This window comes from Homo sapiens, chromosome 12, assembly GCF_000001405.40.
Source record: "Homo sapiens chromosome 12, GRCh38.p14 Primary Assembly".
Taxonomy (NCBI): domain Eukaryota; kingdom Metazoa; phylum Chordata; class Mammalia; order Primates; family Hominidae; genus Homo; species Homo sapiens.
The window spans coordinates 65,309,644-65,326,802 of NC_000012.12; the positions used below are offsets into that span (position 1 = coordinate 65,309,644).

Here is a 17,159-nt window from a genome sequence, read left to right on the forward strand (position 1 = left end):
AAATGTTGGAAGGAAGGGAAGATCTCTGAAGTTTAAGGAGGGCATTATGGAGGATATGGTGCTTGAGCTGAATCTCAGACTGGTAGCACAGTTAGCCTGGTTTCTAAGCAGGGTGGTGGGGAGGCCGTTTTTAACAAAAGGAGTAGCATGGGAAAACATGAAGGCCTGAAAGAGCAAGGCATGTTCAGAGAAATACAGTTATTCATATGGCTGGTTTGGATGTGCAAGGGCAAATAGAAGAGGTAAGGAAGGAAAGGTAGCCAAATCATGAAGCACTTTATATGATGTTTTAAGGAATTTAAGTCTTGGGGAGATGAACAGGAATCACATGACTTCATTTGCATTTTACAAAGATTATTGATTTAGTATGGTAGGAGGTCAGTGCTGGTTTTTCAGATGTTTCTGTGAGAGAGGCTGGGATGGCAACCTGATTAGAAGGAGTAAGGTATTTGTCTTGAAGCTATATTTAAATAGCAAATACACTTTTTTTAAAAGTAGATCTTATGTCTGTTTATGGTGACATGAGGGGCTAATGAAGCTTAATGTATAGAGGCCCCAACCACTCTTCTCAGTATGCCCCCTAGCCCCACATCCCCCTGCACTGCCACCATAAAGAGTACTGGAGGAGTGTGAGGCTGGAATGACATGTGAAGTGCTGAAGACTTGACTGTGGCCATTACAGTGGAGTTGAAAAGAAAGATTGTAATTGGGAGAGATTCAGACTGTAGAACTGACAAGGTTTGTCTGTTGAATTGTATACGACCTTGAGGGAGAACCTCAACCACTAGTTCTTGTGCTTTGCAGAACCTTTTCAATGCTATACCGTACATATCACAGGTGGACTATGGAGGTTATTTAGATTATACATAATGATGTTTTCCTCTGGAAAAAGCTCCAATGTGTAAAAGTACCCAGCATAGTTCTTGTAACATTGGTTTGCCAAATACAGGGGAGGCTAAATGTTTATAGAAACCACATTAATTAACAGTGTATTCTTCAAGATATGACAGTCATGGATTAAAGGGTTTCATAATGAGATTGTTTAACTGAAATATAAATATCTTTAAATTTTGATAAAATGATTCAAAGATAAATTCAGCAAAGCTGATAGTTTTTAAAAAATTAACCATTATGGTACAGTGCTTAAGCACACAAATTCTGTATGAGGTCAGACTGAGTTTAAAATCTGACTTTGCCACTGACTAGCTGTGTGCCTTAGCTTCCTTGTTTGTAACATGGAGATAATAATAGTACCAACCTGAAAGGGTTGCTGTGAGAATTAAATAGATTGGGATGTGAAAAGTGCTTAAACCTGTGGCTGGCATTTAGTAAACACCATATATGTCTTCACTATGTTCAATATGGAAATTCATGTATCTGTATTAATATAGATTTATGTTTTTCCAATACAACAGACTTTTCAAACTTTTAAACATGTCCTATGTTTCATTTAACTATTTTTTACTTTCATGGGACTCACAAATACACTTTATGTTTGAGGAATAACCATCTTGACCTGTTGTTCTGATCTCTTTATTTTACTTATGCACCCTGCTGAACCAGAATTCAAGTCCTATAAATATACAAGAGATTTCTTTTATTCTTACTACCCAGTACTGGTAAAAGCCCAAAGAAACTCTCATCTTTCTTATCTAGGGCTTGTAAACCCATTTTAATTTGAAAAATGAGTTGACTAGAATAGTATTCCATAATTTCTCGACCATTCAAGCACCACTAGTTTTTAAAGTGTTATGAAAGTCAGTCTTTGGGTGTCTACATATTTTATAACTTGGATTTAGCAAAATCTGTATCATCATCAATTTCTCTAACAGGATTTTGCTCTTAGATATATAGAAATGTTGAAGAAATTAACTTCAACAGTAATGAAACAGACTGCTTAAATTTTGAAAAATAAAGATGAAATTGAAATGGGAATTCTAGTCCCTATTAGTTTGTACAGGTAGGGAAGAGAAGAGGCCAAAATTGGAAATACAGGAAGTGAAGGTGAAAGTTTGAAGTCTTGCTTTAATATAATGTTGCTGGTCAAAACCCATTACAACAGAAATCTCTGTAAATCAAAAAGATGTCTGTTCCCTAACCAGTACCCTACTAATTTTGAGTATTATTCAATATGAAATAATTCCAGAACTAAAATATAATTGGAGCAAGCTCTTAAAGTTGATTATAACTGGATTGACCTGCATGAAGGCTATATCCCAGAAGAGTGATCTATTATTTTTCAGCTTTGACTTTTTTTACGTCTTATTTTTTTAATAAAGTATAATTTTAATTTGGAGCTTTTTAAGTGCATCTGAGTTATGGTTCACTCATGTTTGCAATTAAAGGTAATTTTTCTCTCGCAGAATTTCTTCTTAATTTCTTACAACAGTTTCCTTAATGTATTAAAAGAACACTGGATTAGGAGTTAGAAAACTCTAACCAAAGCTCTGTCCTTAACTTGCGTGACCTTGAACAAATCAATAAACTTCTCCTGATCACAGTCTCTTCATCTTTATGAGGAATTAAAATTAGATAGTATATTTAGTTCTTAAATTCTGTGATTTTATTAACTGTCACTTGTTTTTACTTTTGACTTTAGGTTAATCAGATCTTAAAACTCAGTACTAACTAATGCTGGGAACTTATACAGAGAAGTCTGCTGAGTTGTGGTGGGAGGACACAGTTTCCATGTTTGAACATTAGAATTCCTTGCCTCTTAATCAAGACTGAAGCATTATCTGAGGAGGAATCAGGAAGCCCAATTTTATACATAGTTTTAATGCTAGATAAAAATTAAGTGTAATTGTAGCTTAGACTAGATATCATGATAGCTTTCAGCCAAGTGAGGGTGAAATAAATAAAATTTGTCTAAATAGTACTAATTAGAGTGATAAATTATACTTTTTTTCTACCCTCATACATATAATTTGTGGTTGTGATTCTTATTTGACATTATTGGCATATTTAATAGTTTCCATGAATTGAAGAGTCACATGGCTGTAGCTTATAAATATATCATAGTTTTCTAATGTAGCAATTAGAAGTCTTAGAGATATTTTGCAAATGGTGTTAGAAAGTCATTGATTATCATCTGTATAACTAGAACTCCATGAATCAGCGGCTTATGGCTCCAGAGCTTAACACAGTGCCTGGCACTTAATAAATATATGTTAAATGAATCAGTAAACATTTGGAATGTTTATGTGTAGGTGAAGTCATAGCTGTAAGAGAGTACAAATTTATTTGAAACTCCTTTATATGGGAAGATTAAAAGTGAAGTTCATAGTTTGGTTTACTTTTGAATTTATTGTCTGACAATTTTTTCTCACTTTATTGCATTAATACAATACAGGGGATGTCATAGGTATAAATCACATTGTAGCTAAACAAAAAACAAAAGTGGCAACAGATTCAATGCATGTTATCCAGAATTGCTTTTACCTTTTCTTGCAAACAGTTTTGAGTTTTGGTAGTAAACTGTTTGAGGCGGTGAATAAGTACGTAGTATACTTAGCATAAGACTTAAGAACTCTGGCCCTTTTGATCACTTCTTTGCAGCAAATTATTGTTTGTTGTGCTTTAAAGTCTCCATTTGTAAAGAGGAAATACTACAGATACACATTAAAGCCACATCCATCAGTAACAAGTACTTATTCAATTTGAGCTGGCAATAGTTCATTAATAGAACTGATGTACTTAAAAGATAATCAGAATCGTCAGTGTGCTGTTCACTTACTGAATGCATTGACTTTCTATATTAGTTCTTCAGAATCTTTTTTGGGTCATGAAAAATATGGACAACCTACATAGTGCTTTGATAAAAGTTATGACCTTCTTTTCCAGAAAAGACATATATGCATCTACACATGTTTTCATATAATTTCAAGAAATTTTTTGTTAAGTCTTCTGAAACTCTTCAAAGGGGGTTCTTTGACCACATATTCAGGACCTCTGTTCTAAAAGATGCACATGAACCCAATCTAAAACTCGGATCAGAACACCGTGTTTCTGATTTCTGTATTGGTGTCCCTAAAGGAATTCTCTCCCTTGTGTTCAGATTAATGCCCTCAGTTCTCCAGTTTCACCATTCTTACCCAACATCTGACCTAACTTTATCTTACCTAATTTCTTTGATTATATTAAAATGCCGAGGAGAGGATTTTTTTTAAAGAAATAGAAAAAAGGACATACAAATTTCAACCCGTAATTCACAAAATAATTTGCAATTAGTTGATTAAATGGTATCCACTTTTTCCAGTAGATGGCACTAGGTTTACATTCTTTCATAGCATGAATGATTATTGATATTAGCACATAGGTGCATTGTGAAAACTTAAACAAAAGTATATAAGGAATAGCCAGTTAAGAACATATGGATTTATAATCCACAAATTTTTCTGCTTATATTATGTTCAAACAATATTTGTAGAGCACAAAACCTTTTTCCATTTTCAATAAGATTCTGACTCCCTTATGCTTGGCCATCTCATTGAAATTGTCTTTCATGTGTAGACTTTCTATAAACTGAAACAAGTTTTCATAAATTATCTTGTATCCAAATAGCTGATTTAACAGTCATTTATAGTTTTATATGCAGCTAAATTTTCTTCAGCAGACCACCCAAGAATTAAAGAAAATTTCACATTTTGTTTTGCTGTGTTTTGAATTTTTATAGAATCTTGAAAATGTTATTAGTTTAGCATGTTGACTGTTAAGCATGAATCGATTTTTGCATGAATGAAAATATTTTAGAAAACTAAGAAAAATTATATTTAAAATGTTGATTAAATGAGTACTCTGATGCAGCTATATTTTTCTAAAACAAACTGTTTTAGTAGCCCTATAATATAATAAAGTTTTAGTTAATGTTGAAAAGTTGCTGTGCAGCATCTAATTACCAGATGAACTTTTAATTATCTGTGACAATGGATATTAGTTAAGGCTAAATTGTTATACAACAATAAGACTGTATGAATAAGATGTTGGGCATATGGTTTGTTAAGTGTGGATTCTCTTGATTTTCTGGTAAATATGGAATAAATTCTTTATATACCTTAAGAATTATAAAATACATAACACCTAGTAACAAGAGAGTTTAAATAGGCATGAAAAAAACAATTAAATCTTAGTTTTGTTTGAGAAATTCATTAGTTAACAATGACTGTACAGTGTGTAAAACATAAATTCTGAAAACAAATGATAATTCTACAGGGTTAGAATATCTAGACAATATGCACTTTGGAGGAATCATATAGGCAATTAGATGCTTATTTATCTAAACATATTCACAATAATGTTATGTGACAGATTGTAGAAGGATTTATTAAAATGAGCTAACTCTTGCTCTCAACAAACACAAGTTTAATGAAGGAATGAGCCATGAATGACAGCTCACAGATTCAGTAATATTGTGGGTAGATATTTGATGAATTTTTACTATCATCCTTTCCTAGTTTACAATTTCATCCTAAACATTTTATTTAGAGATTGAATTTCTCATAACTGCTTCTGCTAGGTATACTGTAATTTAACATTCTTTAAAATAGATTGTATTAAGATGCAACGATAAATTATCTGAAATTACCTTTTGTGCCTTTGCATTTGAAATCAACGATTTACTTGAAAATTTTAAATCCTTATTTCATTTATTTCAATTTCCTATATATTTTTATTTTTTAAAACATTTAGTATATTTACGCTTGTATTAGTAATTTAAAAATGCGTGTTATAAAAAATACACCATGAGGCCTGGCGCGGTGGTCGTACCTGTAATCCAGGCACTTTGAGAGGCCGAGGTGGGCAGATCACTTGAGGCCAGGAGTTTGAGACCAGCCTGGCCAACATAGTGAAACCCTGTCTCTACTAAAAATACAATAATTAGCCGGGCCTGGTGGTGCGCCTGTAATCCCAGCTACCCAGGAGGCTGAAGCAGGAGAATCGCTTAAGCCCAGGAGGCAGAGGTTGCAGTGAGCCGGGATCGTATGATTGCACTCCAGCCTGGGCTACAGGGTGAGACTCTGTCTCCATCTCAAAAAAAAAAAAAAAAAAAACCCATGAAATGACAAAAGATATCAGTTATTTAGATGGTTAATAAGAGATATACTTTTATAGAGTTTAAATTTATGTATTAACTTTTATGATAAGCATTTCTTTCAGTACTAGATGTATTTATTATATTGAGCCACATAGTTGCAAGGAAGGAATGGAATGTTAATTTTTATCACTAGAGTATTTGAATTTGAGGCAAGCAAAGAAAATTCAGAATCCTGTAACTATAGCTTTGTAGGATTTTGTTTTGTTGCAGAAATACATGTTAGCGCAGAAAGATAAAACTGTTTATATTATATTCCACTTGATTAATGTTTTAATCTTCCTTCTGCAAATTTTAGATAATCTCACAGCAAATTTCAGAGCTTCTCATCATATTATTGGTATTGATGAAGAAAGAGATTAGACACTGATCTGTATTTACTAGTTTGTTTCTACCACCAACTTGCTTTCTGGCCCCAGGAATCTTTGTTTTGTACCTTTTATTCCTATTCTGCATCTGTAAACTGAGAATTTTGTAACATTCTTGTCAAATCTTTTATAAAAGATATGACCTTCAGGTGAGGGTTATTGTATTATATTATATTATATTACATATTAGCTGACATTTTCCAAAAGTTTGTTCTGTGCAATTTAAGTGCCTTGTTGTAAGGGAGAAGAAATTGGGGAAAAAAAGATGGGGGTGGAAGGGAGGACGCCAAAAAGTCTGGGAAATGTCATGGGTTTGATCAGGCAAAATCTGTTTCAGTTATGGAAAGTCCTTGGTTCCTGCAAAGCAAGCTCCAGAAAGGTAGAAATTTTTGTCTGTTTAGTTCACTGTTACAATTCAGCAACTACAGTTGTGTCTATCACATAATAGGTGTTCAATAAATATTTGTTGGATGAATGAATGCTTGTGAATAAGTAACATCATCTTATATATCAAAATAATGTCACATTACAAGTAATGTGATCTCTGCTCTTAAGGGATCTACATTCTGGTGAGAAAGATGGCCACCTCAGGTTCAAATTTTATTATCTATAGGATGAAAGGAGTTATATACTTGAAGGTTTGACGATTCTATATGAACACTTTCTCTTTTGTTTTACCATTGAGGCAGGGAGTAGAAGAAGTGAGAAGCATTGTGCTTCTTTCCTCCCAGAATGTCAGACTGGATTCTCGGAATAGGATTTCAAGCAATGACAGTTCTTCTGAAGGATATTGAAGGAATGTGTAGATGTAATTAGTGGGAGGTGGTAGGAGTGGAGGATGAGAAGATGGGGGTAGGGGTGGATTGTGGGCACATGGGTTAGCAATAGATAGGTATGGTAGAGTGCAACCAAGCATGGGTTCAAGAGAGAAACAGAATGGACAAATAAACTAAAGGAGGAAGGCTGCAGACAAGAGAACCTGGCTGTCATTAACCAGGTATGCAACCATGAGTAGTAACTTTTTTGGGCCCTGATTTCCTTTTGAGGGCTTTGGACTAGAAATTCATCATTTCCCAAATTATAATCTGAGGGACACTAATTCTACTAACTTTCCCTTGTAAAATGGATCTCATCATGAAATTGAGAAACCCTACATACTACCCTATTGCATAAATTCTAAGATGCACTGCTTTTACCATTTTACCATCTTGGTAATCTGGATGCAGCTTAAAAATCATTGTGACAAGAATGTATTATAGTTTGGCCACTTTCTCCCCGCCTTTTTAGTGGAGCATAAAATAATGGGGTATCAAATGACCACATATTTAATAGTGCACATCAGCATAAGAAAATCTCTGAGAAGGTCTTCAAGAAACCCATGTCACCTAGATTTGCCTAATCTGATTTGACAGTGGAACCTTTCCCTTCTCACTCTGCAAGAGGAATAACATGTTAGCATTTTTTTCAGAGCCAGTGTTTTAGAGAATGCATTTTGAGGAATGCTGGATCAGGTAATCTTATAGTCTTAAATCCAGAGAATTAATCAAATATTAGTTATAATAAAAGAGTTGAATGTGAAACCCTAGAGAGGTAACATAGGATTCAGAGTAGCAATCTGAATTACTGAATTAATGTTTTTACTCTATCATTATTTATGTTTAAAATTTCACTGATTTATTAAGCAAATGTTATTGTTGCTGTTTTTAAACTAATTTCTAAGAAACATAGCCAAGATCATTATTTAGAAAACATCTTTTAGAAAGAAGATTTAAATAGCAATAATTAAAGTGGAGAATTGAGTAAGTATTTAAATACAACATATACCCGTTTAGTCCTTCCTTTTTCTCAGCCACATTACTAGGTGCTGAGGATGCAAAGATGACTAAAATATGTGTGAGCACTGTCTCTCAAGAAGACATTGAATAATGTCTTCCCGTGTCAGGGCAAGACATGGCTTTTCTTGATAAATTTGAGTGAAAAAGTAAAGTGGATTTTTTTTTTCTCCAGAACTCCTCAGATTTTTCTGGAATATATAGATTCAGATTTAGCTGTTTGTTGAGTGGCAACTGAAGACTTGTTTTCTATGCCTTTTGCTTAATTAATTTATATTTGAAATTTGATTTGGGTGGTAATGTAATTTTGGAAATTTGCAAAGCTGAGTTTTTGACAATATATATTTTATTTTGTTTCTGGTGAAGTATACTCAATGTTACATTTAAATAAAATTTGCATGATAATCTAAGAGAGGGCTCCTTTCCTTCCTTTTTGTGGGTGGTTACCGCTCATCTCCCTAGCAGTCGGTGCTCCCAAGGGGAGAAGGAGGATGAGAGAGCGAGCTATTTTTTGCAGATCTTTTTGATTGCATGTGAAATGTAGAATGGAAATGAGCCTGTCTGTTTTTAATTTTTTTTTATGGGCTATGATGTTCTAGTGAAGACCCATACTGGAAAAAAAAATTAAAAACAGGGAACTCCAAGTTTGTCAGACGTTTCACATGCAATCAGATAGAATTGAAGTAAAGTGACTTTCTCTTCCACTGTTGTCACTTGATGATGGCAGTGCCTTTAAAAATTCTCTTCTTATTTATACGCCTTGCAAGCAAGAAAATGCTCTTTGGATCAAGACATTTTAAAAATATTTCCCTAAACTCTAGGCTTTGTGGTCCACATTAACACAAAAAGTGTTGCTCTCAGTATTTGCATTAAATTTTGAAGAGTTGATAAGATACTCTTTAGTTTTTTTATGGTGCTTAAAGAATACTAATAAAATGACTACTACACATGAATTCAACAATTAAAAATTTATAACACAAATGAAAGATAGAAAAGTAAAATGTGGCTTCTATCGTACAGTCATTCGGGTGAATTATTAATGAATGTTTCATCAGGATGAATGTAGTGCTAAACTTCTATTGTTTCCCAACAAGAAAATAATGTAGCTTCATGAATGAGATTTTACTATTAAGGTTAGAACTTTAAAGGACGTTAATAACCTTTCAGTACTGTGAAAAATACATTTACTCCCCTTGACTTACAGTAAGAAAATGTTTGCACATTTTTCCCCTTAATTTTAAAACTGCCTTACTTCTCAGTTCCCCAATTTCTCCCTTTTCAAATCTGAACCTACATTTTATCCTGGTTTCTTTTTTGGTTTGTTAAATTAGCTGCTACTCTTACATGAAAGACTGCATACTTTTCATCAGGATAGGGTAATGACCACCTTGACTTGTGCACATTTGATCATACTATATCTATTGGGATGTCTAGATGTAGTTTTCTGTTTGGATCTTTTCTGGCACCCTGTGAATGCTGTTGGTATTATTTGAGTTTTCTATATTTCATTTATAAGCAGATATGATTAAATCTAGGTGGGAAAAATTTTAAAGTGTTAACATCCTTTTTGTTAACTCTCTTTACACAAAACTTTGCACATACCTTTACTGTAAGACTGCACATTGTATAGATTGTTTTTCTTATCTTTCCTGCTAAAATATGTGTTCTCCTAGAGCAGGAACACTACCTTATTTATTTTTAACTTTCCAGTGCTCATCACAGTTCTTGATTCACTGTAGATGTTTAATAAATAGTTGTAGAAAGTATAAATTAATATTAGGCTCAACAGTTTTTATCTTCAAAGAATTTACAATGTGTTTGGGAAAATAAAGCAGAAATGAATGAAGATGTTTGAGAATAATTGCATAATACTGTATTTGCCCATTTAAGTAGTACCTTGCAGAGTAAATACACTAATACTAAAAGTGCTGATAGCGGTGAACTTATCAGGATGTGTAGCCTTGGAAGGAAAACTTGCTTGACAACGTCTTCTGAGTGTATTTATTCAAACCTTCAGTATGAGAACCACACTGAAGGCCATTTTTATCATTCAACTATGCAGCACTAAAACATATGGTCTTGTTTAATTCAAGAAGTTTACAATGGTATGTTGCCTTGGCATGCTTATAATATCCATTGATGTTAATTAGAACTCTGTGCATACATCTATAGAATATAATTGAAACTGATCTCGTGGAATTGTCTTATGTGAAGTAAAACAGCAAGAAGGCATTAAATGTGATTATTATTATGACATATAAAGATATGATTTTTCTTACATATAGAAAAGAACAAATCTTTACCTTAAGAAGAAACAATTATCTTTTTTCTGAGTCCTAGAACTCATAGATTTGTTTTTGTGTGTGTTATGTTTAGGGCTTGGAGAACAGATGAAATAAAACTGAAACAAAATGTAAAAATTAAGAATGTTTTTTAAAAATAGAACAGGTACTAATTTTATACTTTCTTTGGTTATGGATGTTTCCTGCCATGGCCAGAAGATTACTCTGAAGGGGAGAGTTACTGGAGTGTTTCAGAAGGGCAACAGCATTGTTTGGCCAAAGGGTTTTTTGTTCTCTAGGCTCATCCAAAATTCATCACCAGAAACAGCCATTGAGTATCCTCTCAGATATAACTCCAAGTTGAGAATGATGATCTGTAGTCTAAAAAGGATGACTTTAAGTGGACAAAGCAAATTAGCAGAACCTGCACTCTGATCATACGTTGAAAGTTCAGCCAGAAAAATACTTTCCGAGAGCTATTTTGAGGGTAGCACTTTGCTAAATGGATATTCACTAAACTTTCTCTTGGAAGTAAAAAAAGGTAATGCTAAACAATGCCTGTATTAAGATACGTAGTTGTAAATTTCCTGGTTTAAAAGCATATGTCTTATATATTTAAATTGTTGCTTATCTATTCATATTCAGGTTTTAGCACTTTCACTGAGGTTACCTGTCTCTGTCTCTGCCACTGGAATATGAACTTGTTAGTGTTTTCATCTCTTGCATTGATCATTCCTGCCATGTGTTCGGAAAGCTCTTCCTTCAGAGATCAGCACAGACACCTTCCTCTCCTCCTTCAGGGCTTTGCTCAAATATCACCTCAGTGAGACTTCTTTGGCCACTCTATTTAAGATTATAATCCTTATTCCTTTCACTCCCAGTCCTCCAGTTTTCCTTTTTCCTTCCTGAATACTTACCACCTTCTAAGAGACTATATAATTTACTTACTTATTTTCATTGTAGTTTGTCTGTCTTCCCTTACTCCTGCTGGAATGGGAGCTCCAGGAAAGTAGATCTAAGTACTTAGATCTATTTAGTACTCCAGGAAAGTATCCTAAGTACTTAGAATAGTGCCAGCAGATAATAGGTACTCAATAAATAATTATTGAACTAATGTATATATCTTACTTAGCATAGTGTCTGACACTTTGTAAACACTCAACATTTTTGATGACTTAATTTAAGAAAAAATCTTGGATCAGTGGTCCTCAAAGTAAACCCTGCAGCTCTAGTTTTGTGGAAACCAGAGGACTGAAGCAAAAGTGTCCTGACATCTTAGACTGTATGTTAATCTCAGGAATGTTTTTCCTATATATGTCTACTTTGAGAGAAAAATCAGAATTAGGTATGGTTCTACAAATATAGGAGCTTTTCTTCCTCCATGCTTTGTAGGTTTGTCTTATCTTAAAGCCTTTATTGAATTACTAGAATGCAAACAAACAAAAAATGATAGTTATGGTATATATTTTATATTTTATTCTAAAAAATGGTCTAAATTTGACTTTTCCAAATGGCCAATTATTTAGAAATTCTAACACTATACTATGCCTGAAGTAAAAATTTGCTTAGTTTTCCAGTGACAAACTAATAACCAACCAAATTTACAGTGAAAAATAAAGTATACCACCTTTAAATATAGCAGCAAGGTATTTCAACATGAACTTTACTGTTTTAACCTACTAAACTCAAAGCAAAACAAGACATTCTTATCTCTTATTCATTTATTATCTTGGGAAAATATTTAATAGTTTCGTTTTTTCTGATTCTAGAACCAAAATTAAAGTTATGGGATCCTTAGGTTTTGTTTTGTTTTGATTTTTCACACCGAAATATAAAATTTATGACTTAAAAGTACTCTAAGGTTTAGGTAACAGATCTAATTTACTTCTTAATAGGAAGTTAAAAAAGCCTTTCAACGTTTCATAGACTTTGTGAGAATCCTGTATGAAACTTGTCACTGACCCTATGTTGAAGGAGTAAATACAGGGAAAAGAGACATTGGCTAATAGATAAATGTATGTAACTTTTCTGATGTACTGAGGTGATTATTACTTTTTCCCCCTTATTATTTTGTTAGTTTTTAAGCTGAAAGTTATTGTATAGTTAGAGAAGAAAGAAGAAAAGTTGTTACATAATTTTTCCTGACAAAATATGATGACTGGCTGGGTGTGGTGGCTCACACCTGTAATCCCAGCACTTTGGGAGGCCGAGGCGGGCAGATCACCTGAGGTCAGGAGTTCGAGACCTGGCCATCATGTCGAAACCCCATCTCTACCAAAAATACAAAAATTACCCGGGTGTGGTGGTGGGCGTCTGTAATCCCAGCCACTCTGGAGGCTGAGGCTGAGGCAGGAGAATCGCTTGAATCCGAAATGCAGAGGTTGCAGTGAGCTGAACTCACACCACTGGACTCCAGCCTGGGTGACAGAGCGAGACTCCATCTCAAAAAAAAAAAAAAAAAAAAAGAAGAAGAAAGAAAATATAACAACTATGAGTTTTGCAGTCAGACAGCCCTGGGTTTGAGTTGATAAGTCTACTTGCTGTTTGTCCTTAATAAGGTATGTTATAACCTCTCCACGCCTCAGTTTCTGTATCTGTAAAATGGGCATGACAGCCACGTTCTAGAATTATTGAGAAGATTAAATGTATTTATGTGAAAGTGCCTAGACATGTGCCTGGCATGTAGGAGGACTCAAATTTTAGTTTTATTTTCTTCCTTCATTTCCCACTTTAATCATAAAAACAAGATAAGGTGTGAGGAAAATACTGTTCCCAGGGAATTATTATAGAAAAAGAATTACCAATAAAAGATTGCTGCACACTAAATACTGGACCTGGCTATCTTTTAAAATACAATTTTAACCTCAGAATTCACTGTAATCAAAATGAAGTAAGTGCTAATGGCTGTGATCCTTATAGCAGATCTTTGAGGGTGGCAACACATAGCAAAGGTGACTTGCTTCAGGTCACGTGGCTGGGAAGCAGGCAGAGCCACAAAGCAAACTGTTGCTGTACGTTTATTTGTACTAATAGCAAGAGCTTCATACTGGGGCTTCGAAACAATACTGGCCTTGAGGCAACAACACAGGACAAGCTTCGCTATAAAAAGAGACTTTGGACATATTTCAATAAATAAAATATCCTTGGACTATGTTCAAGATGGAACTGATCTATCTCAAAGTTACTCTGTAAGGAACGGTGTTATGATTAGATACCAAAATGGCAATATTATCTCCTCAAATATGTAATTGTGTTACATGTGTGTACACACACACTCACTTGTGCCTTCAAAAGACACTATTAAACATTTAAATAAAGGGAAAAATCTTTCCCAAACATACTTCTAAGCCAATTTAGAGGTCATTGAACAGATGTCATATAATACTAATGTTAAATTACCCTGTGTAATAAGAAAATTACAGTACCTAAGTGAAGATAGTAAAGGGAAACCATCCAATGAATTACTCCAGAATTTCAAAATGAAATGATTTTTTCAAGATTAACAGTGGCACCATATGACTTTAGAAAAGTGAGTCTGATAGGGAGAAGGGAAATAAGAGACAAAAGTGAAGCTTTTCTGTGTTTATATATACCAATATTTGGTTCTGATGATAGAAGGGCTAATGTAATAGTATAGCTTTAAATTGTCCAGGAAGTATATTATTATTATTAAATGGTGTGGCAAGATATTTATTAAAATCTGACCAACTTCTCATTGAATTGTTTAATGTAAAATCACAATAGTTGTTTCTAGTCTACATATATTTCCTTTTGGTATTAGATATACTTTGAAAACCTAATTATTTTGAGAATATAGTATAACCAAAGAATGAAAATGTACAAAGTTTGACAACTTTAAATAATCACTAGTATTTCTTAAAGGACAAACCTCACTTACAGTTAGGAAACAATATTTATACTTAAGGTTGAAAAGCCAGGATGTAAAAAAATTTTGCTAATTTGGAAGATGACCTTTAAGTGCACCAAAACCAAATAATTTGTAGGCTATGACATAGGGCACATTCCTACAAAATTTGTGTGAATACTGCTTTAGTGGTTCTTGAAAGACAAACAAAGAAAGCTGGAATGAAATCTTTATTCCCCTCCCAAATAAGACGGAGACTAACAAAGGAGTACAGCAGCACTCTTTCAAGGCTTGCCATTAAAACGAGGTCTCTGTAGCACAGTTAATGAGATGTTTCATAGTGGAAAACAATCTGTTTTTAAGAATGTTTAGATCAAAAGTAATTTCTAATCTATGAAATAAAGTCTCTTCAATACCCTTCATTCACTAGTAAAGCTTTTATGTTTGTATTATTTACTTCAATCAGATGTTTTCAATTTTACCTTTTTTTCTTGTACAAATACTTGACATGGTTCATCAATACTGACCAACGGTTTTATTCTCTTCGGAAAAGAGAGATTCATGAGAGAGGGAGAATGAAAAAGAGAGAAACATCTTTGCCTAAATGATTTGCAAGCATCTGTGCTTTAAGCTACTTTTTATGAACACTCCTTAGTAAATGACTCAAGGTAAAAAGGCAGAAAAGCATCCAATGTTAGGAAATTGCAATCCAATACCATGTAATTTAAACCTGCAGTTGCTTCTCTTGTACTAAATGACATACAGATGGGTAGCTTAGTTCTCTCAACTTTGGGAACACAATTGGTCTTTTTGTATGAATGAACGTATATTAACAAAAATATTTTGGATAGAATTGTTTGATTTTAATTGTACATATTTTAATTATGCCATTGAAAAGAATAATTTTAACCAAGTCATTTTGTCATGTTAAGTTTGCATTTAATGATTTTGTGACAGTATTAACTAAGATACAACCCTTCCAACAAACACATGAGAATAAAATAATTTTTAAGAAGTCTGTACTGAATTAAGCAGAAACTCACCTATCACTGTTGACTGATTATTTAAGAAAGAGCCACTTTGCATTCAAGCTATTGAGAGGCTTGTTCTGATAGGACAGACATTTCTCAGGGAAACATTTCTACCTAACCGTTGATAACAGCAAAAATACAAGTAGTAGGTATTTGGATAAAGCCTAGGATAAGACGGGGTCCAGTGAGATGAGAGATCAACATGCCATTAGTGACATGCCTGCTGTGCCTGTGGATCTTTGCAGGCCAGGGAAGGGCTGAAGTATTTGTGGAAGGTCAGCAGAGGTGCTGTCTGACAACCTGCAGGCCCACTCCAAGGTGTATCTTGCTCTTTGGGTCTGGCTTGCTCTTTTGCTGCCTCCATTTTCTCTTGTGGAGAATCAACCGCTCTATCTTGGTGGCCCGGATTCTGCAAGCTGATATCCTTCTTCAACACCACAGTCAGGGTAACCGGCTAGACAATATTTTCCTAGTTTAAGGTCAGCGATCTCATACTATGACATTAGGTACCTTGAACGTAAAAAAAACGGGAAGCATTTCCACTCCTAATCATATTTCTTTATATTTCAAAAGAAGTTGCGTTTAGTATTTGGGAAACTAAGCAAGCTTTCTTCTAGTAACTTCAAAACATGGCAAGAACTCTCTACATTTAGGACCATCTGCAGGCCTCTTTCCCACTGTGATGGATGGCAAAGAAAAGCAATTTTACTGCAGTGAGTAATGGCTACCCTGTCCTGGAGTTATATTTCTTTTCAGTCATTTGCTCATGTAAAATAAAATACTACATATAAACAGGTGTTGTCTGAACATTTTACTGCAGGCTGTATAGGTTGAAATAAAAGCTGCCATTGTTATTAGAATCACATTAGAATTATTTCACCATTCAAATACAGTTAATCAGTAAAGTCTTCCTAGATATACTTTGCAAAAAGAAAATGTAGGTTTCTAAAAATATTCACATTTCCTTTTTTCTTTGTCTTTCTCCCTTTCTGTTTTTCCCACTCTTTCTTTGGAACTTCTTGAATCTGCATTAGTGAAAATGCCTTCTCCTGTAGTTTATTGAAAGTTTCTTGCTGCCCATTTAACATGGTAAGATACAGTCTTTGAAGAGATATACAGAATCTTTATACTTTGAAGGAGTATACAGAATCTAGTGAAGTTTCTGATGGAATCATGGAGAACAGTAATTCCTGGTCATAGAAAAATATATTTTTAGGGCTCAAAAATAGGATGGTAGTTAAATCATCCACAATGGAAATGGAATTTTGATGGTTTCAGGCTATTCTACTAAGTTGCAAAATTATTGCAGACTTACGGTTTAACATAATATGCCCATCATTTTATATATACAGTATAAATGTTTGTAAATAGACTTATGCTTTTGAATTTATTTGAAAAAAAAAGGGTTTCAGGATACTGGGAGTTATAAAGCATGTACCTTGTGAATGATCAGTGAATTTTTAGTATCACATGCTAGAGACTGGCTGTAGCATATTGTCACTGCTCCAGTGGAATCATCTGAATCTTAAGAAACATTCATTTTAAACGTAGAGAAATAATCAGCTGCAGTTCAGGTAAGCATTTCCAGTGCATTAGAGACTGGTCTGGTCATTGACAAGTGACTGCAGAAGCTGTGCTGTGGCGGTCAGCCAAAGCAATTATTTAGGATTCAAGCTAAAAAGGCTTCTTC

At 34.0% G+C, this 17,159-nt stretch overlaps 1 protein-coding gene across 8 annotated transcripts in view; it reads left to right on the forward strand.

Moving 5' to 3' along the window:
* The window catches only part of MSRB3 (methionine sulfoxide reductase B3), a 188,225-nt gene that overhangs the window by 30,961 nt on the left and 140,105 nt on the right, over positions 1–17,159 (forward strand). The window lies entirely within an intron of this gene.